This window comes from Homo sapiens, chromosome 5 (assembly GCF_000001405.40).
Source record: "Homo sapiens chromosome 5, GRCh38.p14 Primary Assembly".
Lineage (NCBI taxonomy): Eukaryota > Metazoa > Chordata > Mammalia > Primates > Hominidae > Homo > Homo sapiens.
Window position 1 is genome coordinate 167,303,374 of NC_000005.10, and position 12,919 is coordinate 167,316,292.

The 12,919-nt window shown below is 38.9% G+C and overlaps 1 protein-coding gene across 9 annotated transcripts in view, besides 2 other annotated features; it reads left to right on the plus strand.

Moving 5' to 3' along the window:
* TENM2 (teneurin transmembrane protein 2) overlaps positions 1-12,919 on the plus strand; it is a 1,285,129-nt gene that overhangs the window by 324,345 nt on the left and 947,865 nt on the right. The gene's annotated exons all lie outside the window — the stretch shown is intronic.
* Positions 21-536: an enhancer, noted in NCBI's record as "OCT4-NANOG-H3K27ac hESC enhancer chr5:166730399-166730914 (GRCh37/hg19 assembly coordinates)". NCBI's record gives its function as "activates a minimal SCP1, AML or CMV promoter by ChIP-STARR-seq in primed H9 embryonic stem cells {active_cell/tissue: H9 hESC(primed)}" and the evidence as "EXISTENCE:reporter gene assay evidence [ECO:0000049][PMID:30033119]".
* Positions 2,124-2,958: an enhancer, noted in NCBI's record as "OCT4-NANOG-H3K27ac hESC enhancer chr5:166732502-166733336 (GRCh37/hg19 assembly coordinates)". NCBI's record gives its function as "activates a minimal SCP1, AML or CMV promoter by ChIP-STARR-seq in primed H9 embryonic stem cells {active_cell/tissue: H9 hESC(primed)}" and the evidence as "EXISTENCE:reporter gene assay evidence [ECO:0000049][PMID:30033119]".

Below are 12,919 nucleotides of genomic sequence, written 5' to 3' on the forward strand. Positions count from 1 at the left end.
GCAAAGGGAGGGGTGAGGCCGTTTTATAAGATTTGGTTAGGTAAAGGAAAATTACAGTCAAAGGGGGGCTGTTCTCTGGCGGGCTGGAGTGGGGGTCACAAGGTGCTCAGTAGGGGAGCTTTTGAGCCAGGATGAGCCAGGAGAAGGAATTTCACAAGATAATGTCATCAGTTAAGGCAGGAACAGGCCATTTTCATTTCTTTTGTGGTGGAATGTCATCATTTAAGGCAGGAACCAGCCATCTGGATGTGTACCTGCAGGTCACAGGGGATATGATGGCTTAGCTTGGGCTCAGAGGCCTGACAGTGGGTCTGTATCTCCTTTTCAATGTGAATATGTATCGAGACTATGAATAGCTAAGTAAAGGTGAAAAGTCCCATACTCACAAGGACCAGGCAGGTAAGATAAACGGGGGAAATAGGCCAGGTTGTCAACTATGCGTCATGGTGGGGACTGTTCTGATTTGAAGTCTGTATGGCCAGGCAGTGTCTCTCAGGGCTGGCAGGTTGGTGCTTCCAGGGAATTCAGGTGTAGAGTTGCTAGATCTCCCAGTTCCTCAAGAAAATTGAGCAATCTGGATTTATTTTTATATAAAATCCCCAGATTTAAAATGGTTCTGTAATGGTCACTTGTGGAACAGTTTAAGTAGGCTTTTGGCACAACATCCTGGCTTCAGATTTTTCTGACAATAATGTGCTAAATGCCCTTAAGGACCAGGACAATTACACATACGCAACCCATGAAGTGCAGAAAGTTAGCAGCTGTGGGACTTCCTTGAATGATGGGTTCAGAAGCCAGAAGATAAGAAGCTGATGATAAATGCTTCTTCCCCTCATCCTGAGATGCACAGCCTAAGGCTCCTGGGAAGGTCCAGCACCATCATGATTAGGCACCCACAACGGCAGTGGCTAACTGTATAACTCTTCCTTGTGTTGGCTTTCCCTTTCCTTGTCTCTGCCACTGTTCCTTACTCTTGCTCTTCTGAATCGCTTCCCCAGTAAACTACTTGTTCACAGCCTCAGTCTCAGCCTCTCCTTTCAATACAAATTGGGTTAAGACGTTTGGCAGCTAATTCATTTTTAAAAGTCACTGTGTAGAACAAAACAAGACTATCTATAGGGCAGATGTGTAGTGCAGGACTTCTTGGGAAATGGTAGATTTAAAAAGAAGGCATTGAGCTTGAGTTACAGACGTGATTTGGTACTTAGGGAATATTTGTAACTTATTTTGTTTTCCATAAGAAACTGTGTGATTTTTTTTCTTTGCTTTTTGGATTGTTTGTTTGTTTTTTTTAAAGAATTTTAGTAAACCTTTCATTTTAGGATAGTTTTGGATTTACATGACAGTTGCAAAAATATTATGGAGTATCCTGGTTGAATTTTTTTGTTGCTGTTATTGTTTTGAGTACATGGGAGTTTTCTAAACACATGCTTAGCAAACCTGATACTGTTTTTCCCTCTTCAGAGCTGTCAGTTCAGATTTCAGAAAGTGCAGAATAGGAAGTTATAAACATACCCTGTAAATTCCTTGAAAGACAGTGCCTCACTCATCTTTCTATCTCCCTTAGAACCAGCCACACTGCCATGTACGTGACATTTAATAAATAGTTGTTGAACAGGGGATCCTATCATACATGAGCACGGAGAGGGATCATAGCCAGTCTGAAGGCCCTTCCCTGCACTATCCCTGACCACCATACCTCTTTTCCTCCTCTCCAAAAGGCAACCTTTCCCCCTGTGCGATTTCTGTCCTACCAGGGTAGATTGGGAAGGACACTGGATATTGGAAGGCAAGGTTTTTCGTTCAGGTTTGCCTGAATCTCCCACTCACTCATGTATGATTAAGTGATCTTTGTTGCCAAACAAAGCCAGAGCTGCAGCTTTGCCGTCTGGACACTGTGAGAGCTTTCTAGGACATACCTGTGCACTGCATGTCACAGTGTATTTTTAGCCAATCCCTGAGTGAAAGCTGACAAGCATTTTGTTTCTCTTCTAGATCCTATAAGCACCCACCTTGCATATTTACTCAGTGGCTAACGAAAACAGTAATAATAACACATGCTATAGTTTCAGCCTCAGATTTTAGAACATCTTTACAAGGTCTTTTTTATCAACCCTTCTCAGGAAACTCAGACAGCTTGCTTAAAAAACCAGGAAATATAGAAACAATATCTGTGAGAACAAGTTACTTTTGTTCAATCTCAGTTTACATCTCAAGAGGATGATTATTCGTAGAACTTTAAATGATGTGGTAACAAATACTGTAAGCTATTTGTTTTCCGTCCTTCACAGAATTGAAAGCATTCAGCATTCTATGGCAGGGATTCGGCACATTTTATTCATGGACTATGTCAGGGATGAAATGAACAGAAGGCATCTTATTTCATAGAGGTTTTGTTTTGTTAATGATAACAATAATGCCCTGCATTGAGTACGTCATTGGGTGCCAGGGATCCTCCAGTGCACCTCACAAGTATCCATTCAATAATATCCCCATTTTAAAAATGGAATAACTGAGGTTGAGAGATTATGATCAGCAGAGCTAAGGGGACAATGGGATTTCATGGAGGATGTTTAGTTCCAGAGCAATATAATCTAATTTACATTACTGAAGAAGTCGCTGGCTTCTCAGTGGGAAACAAATGCAAAAATGGTGAGAGTGGAAACAGGGACAACAAAAGCTACCCAGGGTTGCTTAAGGGGAACCAGCATCCCAATATCTAGAAGAGGTGTTGGTGGGTCTGACAGAAGTTTGGAGACTCGGAGTTGTTCAAACGCTAAAGGCAGTAGCCTGCTCCTTATATTCGATTCGGTAAGAATTATAGATATGAGCAATGGTTATTTTGTGGAGCACAATGAAAGCACGTTTCAATCAGATCGTGGCCCTTTTCCGTAAGTCTTGCTTTCTGGAGCAGAGCAGTGGGTCCGGCACTGTTGTACTTTATCTCAAACCAGATGGTCTTCTCTAGCTTCTATCAGCTTGCTTGAGACACACAGTAAGTACTGGCTTCTTGCTCCTCAGTCATCCTTAGGGGACGATGATTTGTTTCTTGGCTTTTGAAAGGTGATTTAATTCAGGCGTATCAGAGCCCCTTTTCTGTAAGGGGAAAGAATCTTAAAAAAAAAAACAACAACTAGAAAATCGTCTGTTGTCCACAAACCCACACATCCCTGGTTGTACGGAACATCACAGCTTCTTGTTCACAGGCAGCTTTAACAGATAGATGCGGGGATGCCAGCTAAGCCAAGTGATAAGAAAACAAAACAAAACAGTGGATAAGGGCTCATCATTAAAATCAACTATTCGTATCATTTATATAGTCCCCACACCAATTATTCTGGGAACTGTGTCTTTCTGGAACTTTCTGTCACCATCATTCGTTTTCCCAATTCTGTAACACCATAATACCCTCTTTCTCTAACACAGATACAGAAGACTTGTAGCAATAATGTTAATAACTGAATAATATTTACTGAATATTAACTGTATGCCTCACTATTCCCTGTAAAGTTGGTACATGAAAATCATCACTCTGCTAAGGACAACCAAGGCCTAGAGAGGTTAGTTACTTGACCAAGTGCAGGTAACTTGTATGAAAGGGCTGGAAAGAGAATCAAACCCAAGCTATTGCACTCCAGTGGCTGGTGATCTTAGGTGCAAGAAAGTCTGTTGACTGACTATGTGAAAACCATACTCCCCGCAACACTGGCCAGAGGGAAGAAATCAAATCCGTGTGTTGAGATGGTCTGGACAGGCAGGCTGCTGGAAGGCAGAGTATCATTACAGCTATTAAGACAATGCAGAGGGCTATTTTGGTGCTCAGATCTGTGCAGCCAGATGGAAATTGTAGTTCAAGCTTAGTGTTGTCAGACAGCAGAGGCTGTGGGCAAAGGGGAAGGCACGGGTGAGCGATTTTTGACTGTTTATCTCTAATGTGTGTGGCCAGTGTCACTCCCATCTCTGATGTCTGTGATTTATTCTATTATACTGTCAGGATTAAAACACCTTAGCAGGAGAAAAATAAAGGGAGGGATACAAATGGTGTGTCATTGATGTGACAGATGCTATTTCTCTGGAAACCATAGAGGATGAGGGTATGGAAACTCTCAAAAATGCCACGACCACCGAATATCAGAACCGAACAAACCTTTAGGGACCATCTGTTTCAAGCCACTCATTTGACAGATGAGGAAACTAAGACTCAGGGAGCTTAGGTGGTGATCAAAGTAACATAAGCTCCTAAATTTAGAGCAAGAACCCTAACTCCCACCGCCCAGTTCAGTATTCATTCAGCAACATCACCTGCTGGTGAGGTCCATTGTTCCTTCCCCTAAATTCAGAGTTGAGATTCACATTAAGTAAAAAAAGAAAAATCTGTTTTTATTTTAGCAAGAGTAAAGAAAAGTAGAAAGCACGAGCCGGAAATTCTCTCCTTTGCTCTCCAGTATCCATACAATGTTAACACTGGGACTGTGGTCCTTGGCTCTCTTTGCTGTTGCTATCTTTTGTGGCTAGCTCCTTTCCCTTCTCTGAACAAAAGGAGACCCTAGTCACCTCCTCACCCTTGTTAAGTGATGGGGTGGGCCATTCTCTGCCTGGTGCAGCTTTCAGCTCCTTACTGCGTCCTCACCCATCCTTGCCTAGACCTCTTCATCCGCTGTCTCTCTCCTGCTGTTTCCTGTGTGAATAGAGAGAAAGGATCAGAGTAAGTCAAAGTCCTGGCCTGCCAAGGAACCCAGACACCCGTCTCTCCACCTCTTGCCTCCTTCCTCACTCATTCCTCTGCACTAATCTTTCAGCAACTCAGATTTTCTGAAACACTTAAAATCAGTAGAAAAGCACAGAATTTGAAGCAGGATGACCTAACTTTAAGCCTAATCCTGATCACGGTGAGCCATGCAACATGGGACAAGTCTCAGACAAGTCTCTGTGGGCCAGAGTCATCTTCTGTACAATTGGTATCCTAGACAAAGTTCCTACACCCAGTATTATTCTAGGGGTGAAGTTCATTGATGACAAAATACGTTGTAAAGAGTGTTTATTAGCACCAAATTTTTACTGTGGGTGAAATGCCTAAATTACTTTGTAACTCCTCAGCTCTATTAGAAAATCGTCTTGTGCTCAGACATGATTATGCACTGACAGGGACCTCCTGTGAGATGTGCTGTCTCAGCCCAGGAGACTGAATCCAGCAGCCTCCAAGAGTGCTGTGTTCCCCTCAGGCCGCACTGCCCAGCAGAGACAGCCTGTGTTCACCCAGAAAGAGGGCCAACATCTTTCCAGCTGTGAATTCTGCTTATCACTTGGCTGGATGCAGCATTGCTTGTGGCCCAAATCTCACCATGTTCCTCATATAAATATGCTGTCGGGCTCTGCTCGTGGTGTTCTCTCTCTAAGAAATGAAGTCTGCCAAGGATTAAGCTTAGAATTGAGACCACAGTGTTTCCATTTCTCTAGTTTCTAACGTGAAGACACACATACAAAACTACCACGTTGGAGACGAACAAAGGGAAACCATTTTGGGGGTGAAGGTTAGGGAGGGCATTCCTGCTCAGAGCTCAGAATCATCAACGCCCAACCTTGACACTTAATAAAAGTATCACTAGAATTGCCTGGAGTTGTGAATTACCTAATTTTGTAGGGACTTCAATCTCTATCTATATTGTGTGTGTTTGGTGGGGTGGGTGGGGGGGAGGTTTAAATGATAAAAAATCCAAAACAAAAAACAAATCACAAATCACCTTCCTATAGAATGATCCTTGTCTTCTCTAGGAAGTCTCCTATTTTGTATCCCTACACTGAAGCAGGTAAGTTTGCTTTGAATATGATACCAGAAAGAAGAATGGAAAGAACAAAGATGGCCGCTCTCCCTTTCTCTGACCCCACTGGGTTGATACTGCAACGTGGTCCCTGATTTACAATTCTCTACTTTACTATGATGCAAAAGCGATATGCATTCAGCACACTTCTGACTTAGGATGGGATTAAGTCCAGATAAACTTATTGTACATTGAGAATATCGTAAGTCGAAAATGCACTTTTGACTGAACATATTTTCAACGTATGATGGGTTTATTCGTTAAGCCAAGGAACATCTATAGAATAGACGCAATCTCTCCCAAAGCTCAAACCAAGATGAACCCCTCAGAAAAACGAATGTCTGCAAACAGCTGGAAAAACCTCTGCTATGTGCTTTATCCTCACCCCTTTCAAACCTTAGGGCTATGGAAAGGCTTTAGAACCTCAAAACCAGGCTATGACTATAAGCCGCAGGAGATCACTCTTGTCAAAAAACACTTAAGGTTCATTTTGTCCCTAGTTTTGTTTGGGAGCTGGGGATACAGATGCTAAGAAGGTAGTCCATGCTCTCAGGAAACCCACAAGCTACTCCAGGAGAGGCTAAAAGAGTCTTATTATGCCAATACCATAGAGAAATGACCTGGTAGACAAAAGCACGGTATTATGGGAGGAGAAGCCAAGGCTTCCCGGAGACCCTTGTAGGAGAGATTTTGTGCTGCGAGTCAGAGTTGAGTTTGCTGAAGGTTTCCTGAGATCCAGTTAGGTTTGCTCTAGTGTGAACTAGATTACTAAAATAGACAGAGAAAATAGCATCCTGATATTTAAATATATGATTACCCTTTCTTTATAAGTACTTAGCTGGAAGTGTCTTCGGGTGAATACTAAAGCGCGTATCTGTGAATGTAGACCATATTGGAAACAGATTTACTGTCCCAAAGCGTAGTGCTTACTCAGCCATCTGATGAGATGTGAGCACTGAGCAGTTTGAGAGGGATGCATAGAGCTGTTTTATTACAAGATGCTGTTATGAGTTATAGCAGCTTTCCTTATGCTCTACGGCTGTCGCCAAACAAGTTACATGAATATAAGCAGTTTTATTTGCAATTTTTTGCTTACATTTTCTTAGCATATTCGGATTATAGCTTCTCACAGCTCCACTCATGCTCCTGTGGCTGTCCCAGTATATTGCTTTATTCAGAGCCAAAAGGAGCGTTTACAAACATTTGTAGAAAGTCCTCCTTAGAGTACACAGTGCTAGTGTTTATTGATGCTATCACCTGGCACTTGTTTTTTTCAAAAAATAAAAAAAGAAAAAAGCATTTTCACCCTTGGATATAATGTGTTTCTTTCAGAGAAAACTTAATAAATACATGAATTTGCCTTTCATTTGATGCAGTTGCAGTAACTCCTGTGTAGGAGGTTTTGTGTTTCAGGAAAAAACAAAATAAAACAAAAACAAAAAACAAAAAAAACAACAAATAGAGTTTCAAATTTCATTTGATCAGGATTGAACCTGAAACAACTAAAATAAGAAAGAATTAATTTTGTCTGAGAGATATACACCAGGCTTGGTTGTTACATACAAGTTATAGGCTGGAAAATTAGTGTTGTTAATTCCCCTGGAATGTGTGAAAATGAATCAGAGGAATTGATGACGTTAATAAAAATGACAATAACAGTAAATTAGTTTATACTAAATGTAAATAATGGTTATGCTGGGACCTAAATGAACCTGCAACAGCTAGGGACTTAGTATGAACCCAGTTTATTCTTATTTTATTAAGCATCCTCTAGATCAAAATATTGTGTTATTAATAATTACAATAAATATCTAGCATACAGTGCTCAGTATTCAGAGCCTGTCCTCATCTCACTGTTTACTTTGGGAAAATAGCATGTTCATTAGCACTTGGCTTGGTCCAGGGCTTAGGGGACACTGGACATTTGAACATGACTGCATAACCGAGCTTCATTGAGGAGCAGGGGACAGGTGCCAGATGAGGTTTTAGGTAATTTGAAGGATTAGTCTTTAAAGAGTCTTTTAAATTACTTTGCGCTGTACTCCTTTTTGCTGGTTATAAAAATAATTCACATCCATTTTAAAGAATTTGGAAATAATAAGTGTATAAAGAAGAAAATTAAAATAGCCTATCATTTTACTGCTGAATAGCAATTGTTTTTATCATTTTGGCATATTTATTTCCCAGCCTTTGAGTTGTTTGTGTGTATGTGGAATGTATTTTCAAAATTGGAATTATATGTGCTATTTATATACTACTCTGTTCATTTTACTTTTGTCATGAATGCTTTCCTTAAATTGTTCTTCTGGAATATGATTTCTTTAACAATGATGTGGCATTGTCATATGGATATATCACACTGTACTTTCCATCTAATCTTTTTCCCAATGGAATTTTAGTTTTCGTGCGTTTTTCATATTATAATAGTTCAGTGAACATCTTTTACATAAATCTTTGTGTATGTCACTCATTTCTTCAGAATACATCTGTATTTAAAATTATGCTAATGGAGAGGTAATAAAAGAACGAGTAGGCCAGGTTTTGATATAGGTATAAATGTTTGGGGCATGCATCTAAAATCAAAAATGCTTTTTAAGACAAAATTTAAATTTTACTTACAAATCATATTCTAAATTTTTCAGCCACATATGCAACAATCCGTTTATATCATATTCTGAAATGCATCATTCTGTTGTAATGATATTTTGTTAAACCAATTTTAAATTGTATGAATGTAGGGATCTTATGTCATTTTATCTGGAGCCTAGTTAAGGGGGAATTTTTTAAGGTCATATGACTATCCCTTAAACCTCAATTTCTTTGCAATAGCATCATGAGGACTACATCCTAGGAAATCTGGAGTTGTAAGCATAATCACAGGCTTAATTGTTTTCCCTTGACCATATGCATATATTGTTGTATACATACACATATGTGCATAAATATACGTATGTTAGATATATATTATATAAATCACATGTAACATATTACACATATTAAACACAATAAAACATGTACTTATATATTTGTGTTCATGAACATACATAACATCATAATTTTAAACTATTATTTAAAGAGTTTGTGCATACCATCACATGATTTGACAGATGTGATGTGTTTTAATCAGGTGACCATTAGAACAATAAATACAATGCTTTATAGCAATCTGGTCTGGTCTACTGTTAGTCTCCACTTGCCCCGGCTGTCAAATATTGCTTAGAGTTCATGTCAGAAGGAGCTCTTGCATCATAGTCCAAAGCAGACATTCCCAGAACAAAAAAAATGGAGTCAAGAGACACAGACAGGACTTCCTTTTCTGTCTCATTTTCGATGTATCTGTGGGAAGCTTTCTGCCTATACAACAAATCATTCCTAGGGAGGGCTGTATCATGATATGAGAAACGAACAAAAAAAAGAAATGATTTCTGATTCCTATGGGAAAAATTGGTCTTATGTGAAAATTAAACTCAGTGTGTTATAACATTTGCTACATAAACCTGAACAAAAGAAAAAAAAAACTTGTGAGAGATGCTTTTTCTCTCCACAGTTATCTTTCATAACTATCTCTTTAGTTTTGTGTGATGCTGCTCAAATTTGTTGGTCTAAACTGCAGTGTTCTCGGAGGGTTCAGCACATGCCCTTCCAGACCGGACCCTGGCAAAGCAGAATCAAGCGACAGGATAGCCCTGCCCTCATGAAACCTTGACCTTGACTCTTTTTTTTTTTTTTAAATGGAGCCTCCTTCTGTCACCCAGGCTGGAGTGCAGTGGTGTGATCTCAGCTCACTGCAACCTCTGCTTCCTGGGTTCAAGCAATTCTCCCACCTCAGCTTCCCAAGTAGCTGGGATTACAGGCACGCACCACCACTCATGGCTAATTTTTGTACTTTTAGTAGAGACGGGGTTTCGACAAGTTGGCCAGGCTGGCCTCAAACTCCTGACCTCAAGTGATGCATCCTCCTTGGCCTCTCAAAATGCTGGGATTACAAGTGCGAGCCACCGTGCCCAGCCTGACCTTGACTCTTGGCTCAATTTTCTCTGTTCTTGGCATCTATGTTCTTCAGACCATGATGCAAGAATTCCAGGGGTGTACAATCTTTTGGCTTCCTTGGGCCATATTGGAAGAAAACGAATTGTCTTGGGCCATACATAAAATACACTAATATGGGCCAGGAGCGGTGGCTCACGCCTTATAATCCCAGCACTTTGGGAGGCCGAGGCAGGTGGATCACGAGCTCAGGAGAAGACAAGCCTGACCAAATTTGTGAAACCCTGTTTCTACTAAAAATACAAAAATCAGCTGGGTGTGGTGGTGTGTGCCTGTAATCCCGGCTACTCAGGCGGCTGAGGCAGGAGAACCATTTGAACCAGGGAGATGGACCAAATGTCTATATGGCCTATAGCATTTATTATTAAGTCTGTGACACCAATGTACTTCACTTGGCAAGTCACTTATTCACCTTAAGCCTCCATTTCCTCCCCTAAAATGAGATCAAAAGAGGCATAAATGATTGCCCTTCTCCCATCATTCACTCTATCTCTGCCTCTATGTAGACTCAGTTCTTGCTCTTCAACTGACTTGGTAGATCCTTGAATATATGTAGTCATTTTAATTCCAAATAATTAGTACTAAAGTAAGAAAATTCTGGTGAGAGAAAACTGCAACTATGTTTAAATGTACAAATAAAGGTGAATCAATCCCATTTGGAGTAAAGAACGTCCAGATGTCCTCAAAATAAGTGTCCTTTCTCCTCCACCTATTCCCTGTCCCGAGTCTCATTTTCATGCTCAGCAAGACCCTCTACCGGATTATGTCATCCCCCACCCCGATACAAAAGGGTTATGTTTATAAATGTTGAATGACTAACATATCCTCTCAGCATTGCCATATAGAGTGGCAAATAATGTTGGAAGGAAATTGGGCATTTTGGAAAGGACTGATATGAATATTAATTATACAAGTGTGGGCTCCAAAATCTCTTTTTTAGGTTTTTCCCACCTGCATTCCTACAGAATTGAATGTTTGTTCTTCTATTATGCTTATCAGTAAATTCTTAATTTTGTTAAGGAAAAAAAACAAATCCAGGGCAAGTGCTTACATTATCACTATCATCTGCTTGAAGCCTGAATTTCATTAAGTAGGTTGTTAATAAAATGAGGAATGATATATCACAACTGCAATGCTGTGTCTCCCAAAGTTAATGAAGAGTTATTATTTTATAGATGACAAATTAAAAGGCTGTTAAAATAGTTGGTAAGACTGTCAACGGATTTAGCAACATTCTAATTAAAAATAGGGCATTAAAGAGAATTAAAATCTTGAATTTGGAGAAATGAGAAAATATGCTTAATATGTGATTTAACATAGTTAAGAGCCCTGGAATCTTTACATAAGATGAGATGGATGTCGTTTTAAAGATATCGTGACAAATTTTTGCAAAACTAGGACATCACCATCTAATACAATTTCACAGAGTTGATGAACAATTTGTTTGCCATTAAAATTATATTTTTAAATGTATAAGTAATATTAAAGCAATAATAACATTTTAATATGTATTATTATAAAGATATGCTACATGTAGCCTTAATATATATTAATGATATACACATTTACCTGTCACCCATTTCTAACAAATTAATAGTTTTCATTTTTTTCATTTTCACTGAAGTACTTATCTATCTGGATACATTTTTATACAAAAATAGATTTTTATACAAAAGTTACACTTCTGTCTGCTTTTTTCAGTTATACCTCAGTCTTACATATCTTAAATGTTTTCCTTTTTAATCATTAAACACCATTAATTGAGTTGATATGCTACATTTTACTTAACCATTCCTTTCTTGGTTAGTTAGGTCCCTTCCACTTTTTACTATAATAAATAACATTCAAGAAACATTTTCATATACATTTAGAGTAAGTTTCTGGAAATGAGATTACTAGATCAAAAAGTATTAATGCTTTTTTGGTTGTTTAAACATTATCAAACTGCTTATCAAATGACTTTTATCATTTTACACCAGTAATTTAACTACAGTTGTAATTCAATGACAAGGTGGATAGGATTTGATGGCATCATTATTTTATAATTTTTGCAAAATTAGTAGGTAAGGTGGTATCATATGTTTGTTAACTTATGTTTAAACAATCTGCTCCAAGAATTTCACAGATAATTAGATAACATGACTGTTTTCTCTATTAATTTGGTTTTCTATATTTTATTCTTTGACAAGTGGTCATATGCAAGGTGCCCCACATATGATGCCGTAATTTTCTTTTAGCAGATTTTGGAGGTATTCACAGAATTGAGATTAAGCATAGCTCAAACAAAGATACCCATGGAATGAATAAATGAAATAATATTTAATAGAGTAAAACAGAAAGTGTTTAGAAACATGTTATAGAGTCAATAACAGGTATAGTGAGGATGATTTTTTTCAAGGTGTGCTAAACTTGAAAATTGACCCTTTTTATGAGTATTTCAGGAGCTAGAGAATCCCTCCTATTCCTAAAACAAAGGTGAAGGAGAAACAGGGAAAGACAGAGACCTCTAACAAACAGAATGAATAGCTGAAGTGGACGGGCTGTCTCTGGGAGTGGGCATTCTATAGAATGCAAGCAGTGGGGGTAAACAAATGCTGTTTACATTTCCCATCCTTGTTAAATGAAAAAGAAAATTAGGAACAATTATAGCTAGAGTTATAGAAATCCACCTTGTGAAATAGAGACCTTGGGTCCAAAGCGTCTATTTGCATTTCACTGTTTCTGCCTGGAACAAGTCTGTTAGCATGGCTCACTCCCTACTCCCTGCAGGTCTCTGCTCAAACATTATCTCTTCCTGCCTACTCTCTATAAAATATAAAGTTCTGTGTACCCCACTTGCCATTCCATTCACTCCCTGTTCTTTTTTATCATGCCTCATGCTTCTTGATCTAAGATTTGCTTATTTGCTTATTTATTTACTCATCTATATACTGCAAGAATGTAAGCTTCATAAAGGCAGAGATATGTACTGTATCCCTACAACTTGATAGAACAATGCCTGGCATGTAATGGATGCATCATAAATATTTGTTGAGTGAGAGAATGAATGAATG